General features: G+C 37.0%; 1 long non-coding RNA gene across 1 annotated transcript in view; it reads left to right on the forward strand.

Moving 5' to 3' along the window:
* LOC100506869 (uncharacterized) overlaps positions 1 to 15,994 on the forward strand; it is a 220,968-nt gene extending 204,974 nt beyond the window's left edge. Inside the window, exon 2 of the long non-coding RNA NR_126341.1 lies at positions 15,739 to 15,994. This is a non-coding gene — a long non-coding RNA (uncharacterized LOC100506869). The remainder of the gene's footprint in view (positions 1 to 15,738) is intronic.
* Positions 15,995 to 20,765: the final 4,771 nt, after the last annotated feature.

The following is a 20,765-nucleotide window of genomic DNA, read 5'->3' on the forward strand; positions in this document are numbered from 1 at the left end:
CAGTCAACTTGAGAGGGCAGGAATGCACATATTCACAACGCAATGTGCCAAGTGTGACACTAGAGATAAAAACAACATTCTGTGAGCGCATAGAGGAAGACAAACTAGGAGAATTATAGGAAACTTGACAAAGATGGAAAGCTGAAGATGGGTTTTGAAGAATGAGTAAGAGTTTGCTAGAAACAAAAGTTAGCAACAGTGTGGACATAGGACCCTTAATCAAGAAAAATTATACTTATACAATTTTAAATCCTCCAGGGTTTGGGGGACTTCAGGCTAGGAGTAAATACCTCATAAATATTGCTTCAGATCTAGAAATTGGACTGGTAGCCTGGGAAATGGTTGTGCAATGAAAGAAACTCATTTTAGCAGGAAATAATGGACAAATATGTTAGCTTGAAATTAAGTGCAGAGATATGGAAAGACACATGAAAATCCAGTTTTGACTTCATGAGTTACCAACAAGCAAAACAAAATTATTTCATACAAACGTGTTTATCACGGTAGAGTTATGAGGATAATACACGAGTACACATAAAGAACATCAAAGTCAGCTCTGGCAAAGGCTGTTTGATGCCCTCAGTCTCTCCTCTTCTATATAATAAAATTCTCAATTTTAGTTAAGTAGATTACCTGAATACAGACTATACATCTCAATTTTTTCTGCTACTAGTTGTGGTAAAATGACTAAGTTCTGATAATAAGTGTAGGAAAGTGGTGTGGAAATTTCTGAAATGTGTCCTTAAAGGGGAAGTGTATTTCCTTCTTATTTTTGCTTCTTGGATGCATATGAGATTGCTGAAGCTCTATCTGGAACTCTAAGGCCCCTGATAGCTCACTTTAAGGGTGGTGGAATGCAAAGCTGGAAACAGCCTGGGCTCCCAAGGATTGCAGTGCAACAGGGCCAATTCCTAATTGCCTATATCCACAAAATTAAATTATATTTTATTTTGTTGTATTACTTAAGCAACTGCTTTGTTAAAAAAATATATTGTCACCAAACCTCTTATACACTCGTAACCAGACACATCAACTAGCCAACAAAACTACTTCTTTTGCAAAGTTTTAGACCTGTCGTATGTTTCTCTGTTCTTATTTCTACTCAAAGGGGTATCTTTGTTAGCTGGTGGATTTTTTTCCCTTCTAAAGGACACAGTGGTAATTATTTTCTGAAAACAAATAAATAGAAAGAGAGCCTATTTGGAATCCACATGAAAAATTAAATATGTGTTTCCTACCAGGGACCTCTCAAAAAAGTGTAATGACTTCCCTGGCTATACTCACTCTGATCCTTCCAGTATGTGGGTTAAGTACTTCCCATGGATTAACACATTCAATCCTCCCAACACCCCTATGAAGTAGTTACTATTTTCAGCCCTATTTTCTTATCATATTTAACACTTTATTTTGTTTTATTTTTAATTTTTACTTTACATTAAGTTCTGGGACACATGTGTAGAATGTGGAGGTTTGTTACATAGGTATACATGTGCCATGGTGGTTTTCTGCACCTATCAACCCATCATCTAGGTTTTAAGCCCTGCATGCATTATATATTTGTCCTAATGCTCTGCCTACCTTTGTCCCCCAACCTGCAACAGGCCCAAGTGTGTGATGTTCCCTTCCCTGTGTCCATGCGTTCTCATTGTTCAGCTCCTACTTATGAATGAGAACATGTGGTGTTTGTTTTCTGTTCCTGTGTTAGTTTGCTGAGAAAGATGGCTTCCAGCTTCATCCATGTCCCTGCAGAGGACATGATCTCATTCTTTTTCATGGCTGCATAGTATTCTATGGTGCATATGTGCCACAATTTCTTTATCCAGTCTATCATTGATGGGCATTTGGGTTGATTCCAAGTCTTTGCTATTGTGAATAGTGCCACCATAAACATACATGTGCATGTGTCTTTATAGTAGATTGATTTATAATCCTTTGGGTATATACCCAGTAATGGGATTGCTGGGTCAAATGGTATTTCTGGTTCTAGATCCTGAGCAATCACCACACCATCTTCCACAAAATTTACACTCCCACCAACAGAGTAAAAGTGTTCCTATTTCTCCATAGCCTCACCAGCATCTATTGTTTCCTGACTTTTTAATAATCGCCATTCTAACTGACATGAGATGCTATCTCATTGTGGTTTTGATTTGCATTTCTCTAATGACCAGTGATGATGAGCTGTTTTTCATATGCTTTTTTTTTTTGGCTGCATAAATGTATTCTTTTGAGAAGTGTCTGTTCATATCTTTTGCCCACTTTTTGATGGGGGTGTTTGTTTTTTTCTTGTAAATTTGTTTAAGTTCCTTGTAGATTCTGGATATTAGACCATTGTCAGATGGGTAGATTGCAAAAATTTTCTCCCATTCTGTAGGTTGCCTGTTCACTCTGATGGTAGTTTCTTTTGCTGTACAGAAGCTCTTTAGTTTAATTAAATCCCATTTGTCAGTTTTGGCTTTTGTGGCAACCACTTTTGGTGTTCTAGTCATGAAGTCTTTGCCCATACCAATGTCCTGAATGGTATTGTCTAGGTTTTCTTCTAGAGTTTTTACAGTTTTGGGTTTTACATTTAAGTCTTTAATCCATCTTGAATTAATTTTTGTATAAGGTGTAAGGAAGGGGTCCAGCTCAGTTTTCTGCATATGATTAGCCAGTTTTCCCAGTATCATTTATTAAATAGGGAATCCTTTCCCCATTGCTTGTTTTTGTCAGATTTGTCAAAGATAAGATGATTGTAGATGAGTGGTGTTATTTCTGAGGTCTTTGTTCTGTTCCATTGGTCTATGTATCTGTTTTGGTAGCAGTACCATGCTGTTTTGGTTACTGTAGCCTTATAGTATAGTTTGAAGTCAGGTAGTGTGATGCTTCCAGCTTTGTTCTTTTTGCTTAGGATTGTCTTGGCTATATGGGGTCTTTTTGGTTCCATATGAAATTTAAAGTAGTTTTTTTTCTAATTCTGCAAAGAAACTCAGTGGTATCTTGATGGGAAGAACATTGAATCTATAAATTACTTTGGACAGTATGGCCATTTTCACAATATTCATTCTTCCTATCCATGAGGATGGAGTGTTTTTCCATTTGTTTGTGTCCTCTCTTGTTTCTTTGGGCAGTGGTTTATACCTCTCCTTGAAGAGGTCCTTCACATCCCTTGTAAGTTTTATACCTAGGTATTTTATTCTCTTTGTAGCAATTGTGAATGGGAGTTTATTCATGATTTGGCTGTCTGCTCATCCATTGTTGGTGTATAGAAATGCTTGTGATTTTTGCACATTGATTTTGTATCCTGAGACTTTGTTGAAGTTGCTTATCAGCTTAAGGAGTTTTTGGGCTGAGACTATGGGGTTTTCTAAATATAGAATCATGTCATCTGCAAAGAGACAATTTGACTTCCTGTCTTCCTAACTGAATACGTTTTATTTATTTCTCTTGCCTGATTGCCCTGGCCAGAACTTCTAACACTATAGGAGTGGTGAGAGAGGGCATCCTTGTCTTGTGCCAGTTTTCAAAGGGAATGCTTCCAGCTTTTGCTTATTCAGTATGATATTGACTGTGGGTTTGTCATAAATAGCTCTTATTATTTTGAGATATGTTCCATCAACCCTTGAATTTTTGAGAGTTTTTAACATGAAGGGATGTTGAATTTTATTGAAGACTTTTCTGCATCTATCTATTGAGATAACCATGTGGTTTTTGTCACAGGTTCTGTTGATGTGATGGAATACGTTTACTGATTTGTGTATGTTGAACCAGCCTTGCATCCCAGGGATGAAGCCAACTCGATCATGGTGGATAAACTTTTTGATGTGCTACTGGATTCGGTTTGCCAGTATTTTATTGGGGATTTTTGCTTCAATGTTCATCAGGGATATTGGCCTGAATTTTTCTTTTTTTGTTTTGTCTCTGCCAGGTTTTGGTATCAGGATGATGCTGGCCTCATAAAATGAGTCAGGGAAGAGTCCCTCTTTTTCTGATTGTTTGGAATAGTTTCAGAAGGAATGGTACCAGCTCCTCTTTGTACCTCTGGTGCAATTCTTGCAGCCCTATTTTACAGCTCACAGAAATTAATTAATTGAACAGTGCTTCTGATCTGGAAAGTGATGGACTCAGGCTTATAGCATAGGCAGCCTGACTCCACAGCTCAACTATTAAACACTACTCTCATCACCCCACAGGTATGGATAGGCTTTCTTGAAAATTGTTGACTAGGACTCGTCCATGGCCATATATATATACATATATGTGTATATGTATATGTGTATATATTATATATGTGTATATATTATTATATTATATATGTGTATATATTATACATGTTATATGTATTATACATATACATATAATACATACATATACATATACATAATACATATGATATATATATTACATATAATATACATATATCATATGTATATATTATAAATATATGTATATACATATGGCCATGGACAAGTCCTAGTTTATCATATACATATAATATATATGTGTATATATATGTAAGTAAATGACTTGGTATGAGACATTCTTGTTGATCCATCTTACTTGTTCCTAAGATACTTACCAACTGGTTTTCCATTTTGTCCTCAGGGCCTGAATTTTCTGCTCCTGAATTCAAAGTAAGTTTCCATAACCCTGATCTGCATAGTCAGGCATCTGGGACCTGAACATGGTTGGGACAATTTGCTGTCCATCATTATCTTTCTCTTTCAATTCTCCTTGAGCTGCTGTACCATTTTCAGTCCTAACTCCATATTTGTGTTCTCCCCAACACCCCCCACCCCCACCACTTTGGAAAAGCCAAATTTGAATCTTTGTTCAAATTCCATACTTAGCCTGCTGCCTTTTAGATATTATTCTTCTTGGCCTTATTTCCTACCTCAAGTTTTGAACATTTAGGACTGAGAGCATTGAATTCAGCGGATAGTTTGATTCTATAATAAAAGTATGATTAACTTTGGCATTGTTGGTCACAATCTAGACATCCATTGGATGGATTCATTCCCTCTTTTATTCTTCAAATATGTATTAAGCACCTGTCAGGTGCTAGGCATTGTGCTGTGTGCAGAGATAAGCCCATGAACAAGTTATTTCCTGCCCTTGCAGAATAGTTACAATAGTAAACAGTAGTTATAACAGTAAATAATAGATACAATAATAAACAAAAAGTTACAAAATGTACATTGAGGATTAAAACAGCGAAGTAACCAACAAGGCCAATGGAGCTTGAACAGAGTTTTGAAAGCTATATGGTTCATCATGTTGACTAGGAAGGCAGGATACTACAACCAAGGGAGTGGAATGTTGAAAGGTATATAACAGCATGGCCCAGCATAACCTAAAGCTTAGGATAGGACAAAGGGAATAGTCAGATGATGTAGGAGAGGGGTTTGGGGTTACATCAGGAAATGCTTCATATGCCATGCAAAGGAATTTGGGCTTTGAAGGGATTTAGGCCAGCCTATAAAATGATGAGATTTACCAGATTTACCCAGTCCTTTAAGCTTCTGCATGTCAACGTGCCACCAGGCTAGTGAACACACAGAAGTGATTAATGAGCTCTGTGACCACCCAGAAAACATTCCTGGCAGCTGCAAGCCCCAAGATACATCAGGAGTCTGCTTCTCTGGCAACATTTAGGTCAGAAATAAGTCTATTTTTGAGAGTTCTGCTGCTGCCTTAGTTGCTTGTCTCTTCATCTGCCCCACTACTGTAGTATATACAGGTGATTTTTTTTCCTATGGATTATTTTCAAGGGTTGATACAAACATTAACTGATTGAAAGAAGGTTTTTATTTACTCAGTTTTGAAGTAAGCTGAGATTAATTGTGCAAAAGCAAAAATAATTTGGTAGAACACACCAATTCTTACTAGCAAGAAGTATAGGAACTGATTATTCCCTGTGAAATAACAGTACTTTTGAAAATGGAAAGTGACAATATGTATTTGAGAAGGGCAGGCTGATAGCCTCCTCATTGCTTCAGCCCAGTCCTTACTTTATGATGATGCCAACAAGAGACATTTGTAGGGAGGTCCTGTAGTTACCCTCCCTGACTCCAAACCTCAGAAAGTTGACGGATAAAGTTGAACACACTCAATAAACCCAACAGCTCTGTTTCCATGAGTATTTAACTGTCATTTTGTATCTTCTGACAGCATTAAAATGTGTGGTATATCAGTACTGGGATTTATGAGGACAATGTGGTTAATTTAAATGCCTTTTGGAGCAAATAGGACGTATCTTATTCCAATTTTTTGAAGATAGAGAAAGTGCGTGGTCCTGAACACAACAGGTAATTGTCTAATATTCTGTTCATTTGGGGCTTTCTAACCTGGCCTATGGGAGCTGCTTCATATTTTCATGGTTTTTAACATGAGAACAACATTTTCCTCCAATTTTACAGTGATTGAAATTTCCAATACCTCACTTAGCCAAATAAAAAAAGTACAGGCAAGAAAATACTGTCCCAGGGATAGCATGCACATTTTTGTTTATGCAGTAATAGCAAGAATTGAGTATGAAGACAAGAGTCATTTGCCTGGATTTTTTTTTTCCTTTTTAATAAATGCAGAGGTGGTTACAAGAAGAAATAAAATGTTGGCTGGCAGAAGCAGCAGGGAAGATTTCATATTGAAGACTAACTAGTTCTGAGACGTTTTGGATGTCTTCTTGCAAACAAGTAATTGAAAATTAAATATTCTCTGTATAAAAAATAGGCACCTGCTTGCAAGCTTTGTGTTCTATTATTTCTGCTTTTCTCCCTTGGTGCCAGATTTCCATGTGCTTGGAATAATTCATGAGAATTACTTTAAAATTTCAGGAAAAGGCAGTGGATAGAAGCTTTCTACCTAGAAAAATACTATATAGTTGATATCTGAGTTTAAAAATAAATAGGAATCTTTCCCTTTGCACTATCTACCATAAACTTGGTGCCATAAAAAAGCAATAATTTTAGACCGAGGAGCCCAGGGCACAAGACCCCACTTCCATTGATAACTAACTGTATCCTTGGGCAAATGCATTCATCTTCTTGAAACCCAGTTATATGGTCTGTAAAGTGATGCAGGTGGGGGTGCAGGGTATGCTCAATAATCATTAAGGACTCTATAGCTTTAATGTTCTATCGTCATTTATTATATTTTAGGTTAAACACCAATGAATTGTGAAAAACAAAGGCAGAAATGTAGGGCACTGTCATTAATGCAATTGGGGGTAAATTGAGTTGCTCTTTTCTCACACCCTAGGCTGAAATAAACAAGCACACATTTAAAAGTGAAACTTGGGAATATAGCAAAGCAAATACATAGGATTGACCAAACCAAAGCTTTGCAGGCAGTGGAGGTTCTGATACGAGCTGTACCCTGCAGTTCATGCATATCACTTGAAGAGTGAGGTTATGACTCACAAGTGGGACTCTTGCCTCATCCCTCAAACCTCAGTTCTCACAAATATTCCAGATCAGTGGGAGTCTGCTTTGTCTGCCTTGGAGAGCCAAGTCATTTTGGGCTGGGAAGTAATAGGTATCTAAAATGAATGCTTGAGCAATGAGAGAAAAATAGATCCTCCAATGTCCTGGAACACAAACCTCCTTCGAGGTCCAAGGATAGAATCAGAGTTGTTCTAAATGAATTTTCTTTCATTTTGTTTTATCACACTAAAAACTATCTTTCGGACGATTTTTTCTGTCAAATGAATAACTTATTAAGGCAACTATACGGTAGCTTGAGGCATTTCTTTAGATAATTAAGTTATATATCCTTACCATTGTTGTCATGTTATGATGTCTAGAATAATTTTTCTTTGATAAACGTTAGGAATAATGTATTCCACCCTATGACTGTAAATATCTCATTAAAGATTGCTCATTTAAGGCACAGATTGAGTTAGCTTAAGCATCAAAAACAAATTATACCATGATACCAGATTCTCCCTTGGAACCTAAGGATTTAACTGGACTCCAGAAAGAAACTGCAACAAGAGAGATTAACACTAAACTCATTTTATTTTACTGGGCTCATTTCTGTCCATCTACTTCATTCCATTGTCTCTGCAAATCAACTTCCAACATTTTTCTGGTCTATGGACTATATAATAGAAAATACAGCCCCCAACAATTCCAGGTTTTTCATAATATGAATAAATTTAGCCACCCAGAAAGAACCTGATTTCTCTTACAGTACCAGCTTGAAAATTCCCAGGCAGGGATTTGATTAACTCAGCTTGGGGAAGGTGTGTACCCACAGTGGGATTAACTGTGTCCAGGGTTTGGGGAACAGTAGCTGTTCCTGCTGCCTCCAATGGATGAATGAGGTAATGCAAGTTCTTAGAAAGACATTGTCATTACCGGGTATTAATGTATAGAAATGTACAGTCCACCCTTGGTCCCCCAGTAAACATGTATATAACATTCTTTTCATACATGCAACTCCAAAACGTCCTGCTTAAAATTCCCCAACTTTCCCAGGTGAAACCCCAAACAGTAGTTTTCTGGCCTAAAATCATACTTGCCCTGCATTCTGTGATATAATGACCTAAGCAATATTTCTCTGTGACTAGGCTTTCTGAGGACTATCTATTCCTATTCCACTCAAGTTCAATAATATATTTATATGGTTCCTTACAATATGTAATACATCTAATAAACAATAATAGAGAAAAATCAATATAATTAAAATAAAACTTATTTTTTGTTAAAAAATGAAAAATGCTGTGGTATAATTTGGTCACTGGTTCAGAGAATATCCTGATTATTAAATTATAAGATGAAAAAACATCTTGGGCCTCCATTTGTTAACTCCCTTTGAAAGTGAAGTAAAGTTTTTGGTTAATGCATTTATTGATTGGGAGGGTTTCCTGTAATACGTGTTCTTCAGGAGCAACATTTGAGCCTGGGATTTTGGAGGATTTCTCTATAGGAGGCTAAGCCAACTTTGTAGTTCATTTCTTATCAGTGTCTGTATCAGTGTCTTGCCTTCCTGTGTTTTCTGGAGATACAACTGCTACAAAAGATTGGTCAGTTGTCTGTCAATTTCATTTGAGAAAATTCTATTTTTAAATAACCTGTGAAAGAAATACTGAGCTGTATTCTTTGAATCCCTATCCTGACCTGGGTCTTGTTGAATGTACTTTACGAAAGGGCCATTGTATGGGGTCATCAATGTGTCTACCCCCGCCGTATTGGTGCTTCAGAGGGGCACCTTAAGTTTCCTGGGACCCCACAGATATTCTCATTCTGATTTGTAAAATCCAATTTATATGTTCTAATTTCAGAATAGAATGCAACTGAAGAAATGGCTGGTGCAATTCAGCAAGGTAAAAGATTATCTTACCCCCAGCTGGTTAAAGGCAGAAGCTATGAATTTGTGCTATTGTCTGTGGGCTCCTTTCAGGTGAGCCATCTTGAACTGAAGATTATTCCTTTCATAAAAAACTCATAATGAAGCCTGAATAAATCAGTCAACATACTAAAATATTTTGACATTTTGCCACCAAGTCTCCTAAAAATCTTGGGTACTAGATGTAACAGAAGATAAATAACCAACTGTTCTGCTACCACAGGCATAATCCTCCTCCTGGTCCCAAATAAAGAATTCTTGCTGTCCTCACCCCACCTTCATTCAACTAGTGTGCAAATTCTGCATTCAAAATTCTTTCTAGGATAAACAAGTTGCATACATTCATACAATGGAATTTTACTCATCTATAAAAAGAAAGCAACTTAATGAGGTCTTGATTCAGTGATACAAAAATATGGATGTCAAAAACATGCTGAATCAAAGATGTAAGACATGAAAACACATATGGTATAATTTTGTTTATATTAAACAAAATCAGAAAAAAACTATTCTACAGTAATAGAAGTCAGAAGGTGATTGCCTCTGCGTCAGGGATTGGAGGACTGTCTGGAAAGGGACACAAGTAAATATCCTGGAGTAATGAAAGTGTTCAACCTCTTGCTTTGGGTAGTTGTTACATAGATGCTTAAAATTGTGAAAACATCAAATTGAACATTTAAGATTTGCGAATTTTGTGTTTAAATTATATCTTAATTAAACATACAACTATTTTTTATCACTAAAGATTACAGAAATCTTACTCAAATTAGCTTCAGAAAAAAAAAGCAATAGATTATGGGGATTTGAGATTATCTCATGGAAGGCAAGAGGGATGCATATGGGCCTAAGCAGTGAACTAGAGCCAGGGATTTGAATGTGTTTGGGACTCTCGTTCTCCCACTAAAGCTAATATTAGCATATCTGCTTTGTTTTCCTTGCCTCTCTATATCTTCCTTTACTTCTCAGTTCCAAATGATGGAAAACAAAGATAAAAAACAAAGATGATGACAGTTCCTGAGTATGGTATACTATAGGATTATTTGATTCTTCACCAATTCAGCAAATATTTGTTGGTATTAATTGCTGATTGCCACAGCATGCCAGGTATTCTTCCAGGTCTTGAGGCTATATCAGTGAACTAGTCAGGCAAATTAATTAGAAGGGCATATTCTAATTTAGGGAAAAGAGATAAGTAAACAAATACACCAAAATATGATTTTAGGTAATAATTAGGATGTTAGAAAAGGGAGAATGCCACATTGGGAGGCCAAGGCGGGTGGACCGCCAGAGGTCAGGAGTTCGAGACCAGCCTCACCAACATAGTGAAACCCTGTATCTACTAAAAATACAAAAAATTAGCCAGGCTTGGTGGCGGGGGCCTGTAATCCCAGCTATTCGGGAGGCTGAGGTAGGAGAATCGCTTGAACCTGGGAGGCAGAAGTTGCAGTGAGCCAAGATAGCGCCATTGCACCCTAGCCTGGGCAACAAGAGCAAAACTCCATCTCAAATAAATAAATAAATAAAAGGGAAAATTCAAATCAAAGGGACTTGAGGAGAGAGTACTTTAAATGAGGTCATGAAGGAAGGCTGCAACTTGGATGATGAGGAGGAGCCTGTCATAGGAAAATTAGAGGACATTAATTTTAATTTTTAGGAAGAGCAAATGTAAGGTCTTTGAGTCTGGAATGAGTTTGCCATATATAAAAAATAGGAATATTAGTGAGGCTGAATGAGGGGTAGAGTGATAAAAAGTAAAGTCAAAAAGGTAGGCAGAAGCTGTCCTGTAGTACAGTGCAGATATAGAGACAGAGTTGATCTTTATCTTAAGAATAATGGACAACCATTGTGTGATTTTAATCAGGGGAGAAATCAAATCTGATTTATATTTTTAAACCTAAGATATTAGACTCTTATCAGGTGGCTCTGATATTCCTTTCTTAACTTTAGCCTCTTAAAAAAAAGTTCTTAATAGTAGAACCAAATTCTCCAGAGAAAAGATGTATTTGTCCCATCTGGGTCAGGTGTCCAATGCTTAATTCAATGGCTGTGGCCACTGAATGGATCATTTTACAGAAACATGGTAGCTCCTATCCAACTATACATTTGGAAGAAAGATGAGTTTTCAGAAAATGTGAAATAGATAGACAAACCTGAAAATGCTCACTTGAAATTCAATGCAAAAACTGGTTTTCTGTGAATTTTTTTTACTGCACTGCCAAATAGAAGGTATGACACAAATTGGAGAGCCTTCAAGGATCCACATGCTTTAGAAATAGGAGAAGTGGTTTCTGGCTTGGTTTGTAGTTTGTGCCTCTGTCTACATCATCTACTCCAGAAATGCTGATATTCGCTTAATATTTTGAAGCAAGTCTTAGAGCAATTGGCAGATGTGCCATTTTCCTTCAGCATAAACTAGATGGAATTGCTGATATCTCCAAGTGCAGTTAGTTACAGTTACTAGCTTTCTTCCTTCACAGCTTGCTAGTGGGCATGGGACTAGGTCTATATTGTTTACTCCTGCATCTACAGTGAGTGAATAAGTAAATCATTATGCTATCAGAAATACCCTTATATTTTATGTCTGTTCTGGAAACTTTAAGAAAATTAGTATCTTCAGATTTTTAAGAAGAAAAACGTACTATATTTGATTGGAAGAAAAATTGGGACAAAAAATTGGGACATTATGGTTAGGTAGAGCATTTGAAGTGTTTGGCAGAACATCTGGGGTTTTTTTGTTGGCTGAAGATAGAAGCCATCATGGCTTATTGGCAGTTAATTATCTTTCCTGTTTCCTGCTGTATCCCTCACGCCTAATAAAGGTCCTGATATATAGTTGGTGCTTCATAAATATTTGCTAGATTAAGTATTATAAATACATCAGAATGTATTGAGATCAAAGACTTTTGCCAATTACCTTGAAATAAGTCTTGTCTACTGCTGTGAAATCATCACCTTCATGAAAAAGAGGGTTTCTTCAAAAAGTTTCTAAGAAATGGAAAGAGAATATAAGTTTCTTCTCCACTGTGTAGAAAAATCTTTTAGAAGATAAGTTGACTTTTGGAAGACAAGTTTCAAAGGCCTGGATTGAACCTGAGGAATAATCCCCTTTTCACTTTTATTGAGGGTTAAAGAAAGCCCATTCTGAGCAGTTTGACAAGGAGGGGCTCACTACCAGTCTGAATTGGTGAATAATTTTAGCCATGCTAATCAGGCAGCTTTCTGTTTCAATGTTCTGCAGTAACCAACAAGGTTTTACTGAAGGCCTGTAATCTCTTGGTGGAGCTGCTCCACTAAAAGAAGAAAACGGAGGCAGTGTGCTCTGTGAGCTATCTCACGGCAAAATAAATGCTTCTGTAAAGTGCATGTGCTGAAGCAACAACATAAACAGTGGCAAAATGTTCTGTACATGAGTCTTACACATTTCAGGGGAGGCCACCCACAGCTTTCAAAGGATTCTCAATGAGCCTTTGACTTCAGAATGTTAAGAACCACTGTTACCTCAACATTTAATTCACAGATGAAACCACACCGAGGTTAAAAAGCACTCTGATAGCTTCGGTTGATAGTGGTCATTTTTCTGTCATGTGAGAGGATTTAATGAGGTTAAAAGGTGAAGAAAAGTAGACAGGCCAGTCAGGTCCCCTTCTCGAACAGCTGATTCAGACTATACCCCAACCATCTGTCTTAAACTCCCATACTCCAGGCCACTCTGTACCAGCCCTAATCGTCCTGGGGCCAGGTACCAGACAACCTGGACAGGTTCCAGGAACAGACCTATTCCCTGACGCCTGAAAAGTTATTCTACAGCCAATCTATGGAAAGTCTGTGAAACCTAGCTAACCCTGTCGCACTTCCCATCCATGAGTTGGCCGCTACAGCTCCAGCTTGCTGTTATCTTGTCCCCAGCACAACTCCCTGTGCTCTCTTTGGGAGCAGAAAGTTAAATAGAGTTCTGCCTTTCACCTATCCAAATGTCACTGCATGTGTCCCACCATCAAAAGAATCTTTAAATCTTATAGCACATCTTTGTGGTAATTCCATGAAATAAACTGAATGATTGCAGATGAGGAAACTGAACCTCAAAGGGGTTAGTAAAGTGGCCGAAATTTAACAATCTGTTAATTGTAGAGCTGGTATTACAACCTACATCTATTAAATATGCACTGAGTACCAGTTTTAAGTTTATAAATTTAAGGAACTTTTAAATAGTATATATAATCCAATGACTGTCCTCAGTCTTTAAACACAAATGAGACACAGAGAAACATTACATAATATTTGGTTAAGATAAGTGACTGGGCCAGTCGTGTTGGCTCATGCCTGTAATCTCAGCACTTTGGGAGGCTGAGGTGGGTGGATCAGCTGAGGTCAGGAATTCAAGACCACCCTGGCCAACATGGCAAAACCCCATCTCTACTAAAAATACAAAAATTTGCTGGGCGTGGTGGCGGCACCTGTAATTCCAGCTACTCGGGAGGCTGAGGTGGGAGAATTGCTTGAACTTGGGAGGCAGAGGTTTCAGTGAGCTGAGATCGCACCACTGCACTCTAGCCTGGGTTACAGAGTGACACTCTGTCTAAAAAAAAAAAAAAAGATAAGTGACTGAAAAATATATAAATATTAATGATCATCACAGAAGTAATGACTGCTCACTAACAATGAAATAAGCTTCATTCATCCCTCCAGTATTTATTATTAGTAAATAATTTTTCATGCAATTTTCTATTTATGGAGTCAAAAACAGAGAAATAAAAAATATGACAAAGGTTTAGCTTCAAGAATATACACTCTAGCCATGTAGAAATATGCTGGAGACAACACTTACAAACTTGTAAGCTATTGTTTAACTTTTAGAAAATTTTCAAGCTGGTTGTTAAACATTTGGAAACTTAGAATTGGTCCTGGTGAAAATCCTTGCACCACAGAAATTATCAATATTATGGACTAGGGCTTTCTTTTTTAACCAGAGAGAAATATCAGCATATCACTGCTGCCATGTACATATTGGCAGAAAAAATATTAATACCTAAGAATTAGAAATTGCTTTAACAAAATAATATAAATAAAATATTTAATAAATTAAAGTACATTTATATAACAAAAATATTTTAACCTTAATATCATACTATAGGGAATATCAATATGGGGTAATGTATGATATATATACACACACACATATATGTAGCATATATATATATAGAGAGAGAGAGAGCTAATTTTAAGCTGTAGTTTGCAAAGTAGAAGTTCAATGTAGTCTCTTTTGGTGAAATAATAATAATAAAGATGCAAGGAAAAAAGACTGGGAGGATATATATGTAAATCTTAAAACTGGTTATATTTGGCTGATGGAATTATGGGTGAGTTTTGTTGTCTCTCTAGATTTTCTAGACTTTCTGCATTTGACATAAATTACTTTTGCGAAACTTCTTTCTGAACTTCTTTCTAAATGTAGGGTCTTGATGTGAACTTGATTGTTTTTGTCCTGTCAGTGATCTTGGATTGCCTTGCAGCTGTCAAACACATTTAGAGATGACAGGTGAAGAGAAATGTGTTGTCATGTAGCCATAGAACTCATAATAGACTGGAAACCAGAAGGCCTGGGTCTGAGTCCCAACATTGTTCATTGTTAGTTGGGTAACATTAGGCAAGACTTGAACTTCCCCGTAAAACCAGGAGGGTCATACTTCCCCTTATTACCCCTGCAGGCTCATTGTGAGGACAAAGTAACCTAATGGATGAGAAACATTATAAATACAAAAAAAAAAAGGCATTGTTATGAGGCATTTTAAAGAGTTCCTTATGTGATTATAGACTAATTCATCTCTTAGGTATCTGTTTTCCAATTTGAAAACATTACCTCCTCTGTCCTATCATCTTAATTGCTTAATTTCTCATCACTTATTTACTCTTTTTCAGCTTTCTGTTTTTCTCATGCATGAGAAAAATGCATTTCAGCTGAAAACAGTATTATGAAGGAGAAGTACTTCAAAATAAAACACTTTACTCAACCCAAAAGACTCACTATAAGGTGCATTAATTTATTGCTGTGATTACAATTCACATTTTAATTTGTAATTTCTCACTTAATGTCTAAGTTTCTTGCGATAGACTGTAAGCTTTCTGATATCAGGCAGCGAGTTTCCCCACAGCCTGTGTCACCTCATGCAGTGACACATTGTAGCCATTCAATAAATACCTCTTAACTGAAGGAAGGAATGCATACTCGACAGCTCAGAAAGGATTCATAGATATATAGAAATGAATAAATGTATAATGTCCCTCACAATAGTGAGCACATAACTGCTGTTTCCTTTCAAAGAGGGAAGGGATAAGGTTTGACCTGGAACAGGAGGGATTAATGGACATAGTACATGCCTGATTAACTTGGCAAATGTTTATTTATTGCAGTTCTCAAACAGTAGCTGCCACTTCTAGCTGGGAGAGAAATGAGAGCTCTGCTCATGGTGATCCAGTATCTCCAGAATCCATCACCACTGCTGACCTCCCACTCCATGTCTCCAAGTGCTCTGCTATACCTGCCACCAGCAGCTGCCACCTCCAGACTTTGGAAGGTTATAATAAAACCTCTGTTCTACGATCTGCCTTCTGCTTCAACATCCTCACTCCCCACAAACAATTCTAATAAACAGCAATTAATCTGAAAGTGTTTTTGCAATTTTAATGTATGAGATATGGTTTCTCTCAAAAGCTACACTGCTCTTGTGTCCTTACAAGGTATTTTCTTAGCAAGAATAATCTGTTTGCATGGGTGTTAATGACTAAATCCCTTTCTTGTAAAGTTATGCCCATCTGTCACACAAGAAGAATAGTACCCTTTAGAGAGCGCTGAAATGTAGGGAAATGTAGGGAAAATGAGCAGCTATTCAAAAAGGTAAAATGCTGCCACAGAGCCTGATAAGAGCAATTAATTAAACATTAAGTGTAGAATAGGGAATATATGGCATGGGATAAATTATAGTCACAATTCATGTTTCTTTTGTCTCCAGAAGTTCACACACAAAAACCCATGCCTTTACAAAACAATAAATTCAGCACTGTCAATGATGCTTGTTTCCTCATGAATGTTGCAGAGGTCTCTCCAAGTGACTCAGTTGCATGGAAAAAGTTGTGTCACAAAGAACCAAGGTGAGCTGAAGCAGAAAGTGGGAGAAATGAGGTGCAAGGGTGTAGAGGAATAGGATTTGGACAACTGAGAGTGAAGAAAGGAGGTTATACATTTAAAGCAACCTTGTCTTGCTTCTCTAAAGCACCTCAAAGTTTATCAGCAAAAACTATCTCTCTGCCTTCTCTTTCACATAGCAATTATAGCAATTTCTTAATCTCAGGAGGATGCTACTATCTTCTAAGGCAATAAAACCTGTTCTAGAATTATGTTACTAGCTTGCAAAATGCTTTTGCTAAGGCTTCCTAACAATGCCATCTAAAGAAGTTCCCTTTTTAGAGATGATATCATATCCCACATATTTGAAATATTTAAGGAGAGCAGAGATTTAAAGTACAATTTATTTCTGGTGAAGACAAAATGGAAAGTGTGTTACATACTGATTGAAAGGCAGCCACGAAAATAGGCTTATTTCAGTACTTTCTATTGTTATTAGAATCCATAAAGCTCTGAAAAAAAGATGTTTGATCTTAAATCTGAGTGTAATAGAACCAATCTGATGGTTTTCTCTAAGCAAGAGGTGAGGAGATGGCATAGAAACCTGTTTTGTGTGATGGCGGTGAGATAGATCATACCATTTTAATTGGTATCAAGATTGAAATGGTTGCACAAAATTATCCCTCTGGGATTGTTTTACTGCTGAGGTATTATAGATTTACACTCAGCTTGGTAAAACTTCTTAGAAAAGGTAATTTCTATCCTGAATACAAAGTCTAAACAGAGTTAGGAGAAAAAGAATACATGCAAACTTACAATTGTCAGTTTAAAAACCACATCTACAATTACAGAGTATAAAGTGGCCCTGGCTAATCAGATACAAATTCAGTAAATCTCTCATGCATGAATCCCATCTCAATTAACTACTAAAATGCAAGAGTATATTTAAAAACACACACACAGAGAAAAGAGATCTTAAAGGAATTGCATTCTCTCAGATAGTTTGATGAGTCTCTGAAGGTAAACCAGGTCTGTTGCTATGCAGAAGATCAGCAGAATCTAGGGAAGGAATGTGAAAGATCCATGACATTGTAATTCAGCATTACAGGGTTTGCCAACCACATTTCATTCTCACCCACTAAATTAGGAATGTAAGGCACTGCCAGCAAGCAACAAGACAATGCAAAAGGAGATAAAAGCCCAAGCAATGCTACTTGTTCACTAATCACCCAAAAAAGAAACCTGTCACTGCACAGCTCGATACAAACATTGGAATGAGATACTTTGCAAAAGAGCCCTAAAATGAGTTAGGACACAAAACATTTTTATGAAGCACTATTTCACATAGAAACTGCAGAGATGTTTTCTTTAATCATGTACAGAACAGCTACAACAGTCCAATCTGCATAGAAGTGTTCTTTCTACACAGAGAAACAGTTAATCACCAATTCTTTATCTCATTTCACCCCCACAGTAGCCTTCCGAGGTATGAATTATTTGCCCTCAACTAAAAGACGAGAACATGAAGTCTCCAAGAGTTAAATGACTTACACACAGTCCTCAGTCAGTTTGGTGGGGAGGTCGATCCCAAGTCCTCTTGAGGTCCAGGGTCCCTGTAACAGGTGCTCTAAAGCAGTGCTTCTCAGACTCTCTATGGTGAAGGACTTCTTAAAATTACAATTTGTCACTTTTGTAATGATGCTTAAAAAAGAAAGATTTACTCGCAAAATAAAATTTTAAAAAACAAGAAGAGATACTGACTCAGATATTTCAAGAATATGTTTGAAACATATAAAATTACACTTTGAAATTGCTATAAAAATAAATGCTTACCTTCAATTACCACCACAGACTGGTAACAAATGATTCCTGGGCAAACATCAGTTTATATTCCACACTTTGAGCAACTTTGTGTTGATCTACTGGTTCAATGAATATGTATTTGATGGTCCCCAAACCACACACACACAAATGAAAAACTCTTCCTGGCTTCAAAGTAAGCAGAATGACTAGCTGAGCCACTCTCGGTCACCCGGTCTTTCCCTGGACCATCCTCCAAAGAACATTTTCAGAAAACATCAACACTTGGCCCCTACATTTTTGGTGTAGAAGAATGATCTAAGTCTACCCTTGCTCTCCAGACAACTGTTCTGCCTATGTGTGGATTCCGTTCTTGCACTGGGGTGAAATGAAGCTTGACAAGGAGTGGGGAACAGAGGGCAGATGGGTTTGCATTGTTCTCCTTGGATCTTTCTCACCTTTATTTTTACCTAGGATGGCTCAAAGCTCTGTCTAGGGCTGCACGGCAGATCCTGTGTTAGAGCTGTGTTTGCACTGCAAACAATGGCTTTTACCCAGCTTATTCGTTAGAGATCAATAAAAGCAGTGGTTTTTCTGAAGCTGTTTTTACTTACTTACACTTTACATAAAATTATAAAAATTATCTGTATCAAAATTTTATATCCTCACTTTTAGTTAGGCTGGCTTGAGAGAACTGAGGGAGATGGGCTACAAGCGGTGGCTCACGCCTGTAATCCCAGCACTTTGGGAGGCCAAGGCGGGTGGATCACCTGAGGTTGGGAGTTTGAGACCAGCCTGACCAACATGGAGAAACCCCGTCTCTACTAAAATTAAAAAAAAAAAAAAAAAATTAGCCGGGTGTGGTGTGGTGGTGCATGCATGTAATTCCAGCTACTCGGGAGGCTGAGGTAGGAGAATGGCTTGAACCTGGGATGTGGAGGTTGCGGTGAGCTGAGATCACTCCATTGCACTCCATCCTGGGCAACAAGAGCAAAACTCCATCTCAAAAAAAAAAAAAAAAAGAGGAGAGAACTAAGGGAGATGACTAGGAGTGGAGTCTCTAAGTAAAAACATATGTTCCTTCAACTTTCTTCCTTTCCTTGCTACCATCCTGTTTACCGTTCCTCGTCAAAGTCACATTTTTTTGAAAGAAATACTTATACTGTGGAAGCACCATTACTATGATTCTTATTCCTACTATGGTTTTCTGTCGTACTTGAGATAGGCTGTTTTAATTACCTGGCTTTACTTAGGAAAGAAGAAATATTAAGGTTTAAAGTCTGTAATGATCAATGGCTCATAATTCATTAAATCTTTTCATACAAGGAAAATAACAACAAAAAAAGAAATACTGCCTATCACCTTCCATTACTCCCAAACTTACTAGATTTTCTGGTTTTTTTTTTTTTAAATAAAAATCATATTTCTGAAATGGCTATGGCTAAAATTGCCAATTACCTTCTTACAATAAATACAGTGGATACATCTTAGACATTCTCTTATTTAATATATCTGAAGTAGTTAACATTGTTGACCAGCATCACTTTAAAAAAAAATGTATGGAATAGAAAGAACTTGAATGAAAGCAAAAGCCTTGACCTACCTCCCATAAACCATTTCTCTCTTTAGTTCTTCTTATAGTTACCACCAAATCTAATTTACAAACACTTTTGAAGTGTTTATAAATGTAAGACAATGCTCTGAGTACTTTACAAATGTTAATTTATTTAGTGGCCTCAGTAACCTAATGACCTTATAAAGTAGGTACTATTATTAGAGTCATCTGCGGTTGAAGAAGTTGAGGCTGAAGGACAATTATTTTTTTCTATGGAAACTTTTTTTTTTTCCTAGCTCCAATCTAGACCGATTATCTAGACCTGCCAAGCAGCTTCCATCCCAGAATTCTCTACCCTGCTTTCCCATGTTGAATCTACTCTATACAGAATCTGGTGTTATCCTCTTTCTTGATTTTTTAAATCTCCTTTAACTGTTTTTTATATGATAGTGGTTTTATAGAAATAAAGTGGATAATACATAATGTTTCATCTAATTTCAGATAATTAGTTTATATTCACATTGAGAATAAAGTGACATTTGTTCTTACACAAAAAGTTTATTTTTTAACTTTTATTTTTAAATTCAGGGATACATGTGCAGATTTCTTACATAGGTAAACTGTGTCAAGGGGATTGGTGTAAAGCTTATTTAGTCCCCAGGTATCAAACCTAATGCCCACTAGTTAGTTATTTTTCCTGATCTTCTCAAGAAAGGGTGCATAGTATTATCGTCTGAATGTGCCTCCCCTAAAATTCATATGTTAAAATCCTAACCGACAAGATGATGGTATGAAAAGTTGGGGCCTTTAGCAGGTGATTATGTCATGATAGCACAGCCCTCATGAATGGGATGACTGCCTTTATAAAAGAGACTGCAGAGAGCTTGCTCTCCCCTTCTACCGTGTGAGCACATGGCAAGAAGGTGCCATCTATGAACCAGGAAAGGGTCCTCACCAGAT

The sequence above is a fragment of the Homo sapiens genome, chromosome 12 (assembly GCF_000001405.40).
Source record: "Homo sapiens chromosome 12, GRCh38.p14 Primary Assembly".
NCBI classification, from domain to species: Eukaryota; Metazoa; Chordata; class Mammalia; order Primates; family Hominidae; genus Homo; species Homo sapiens.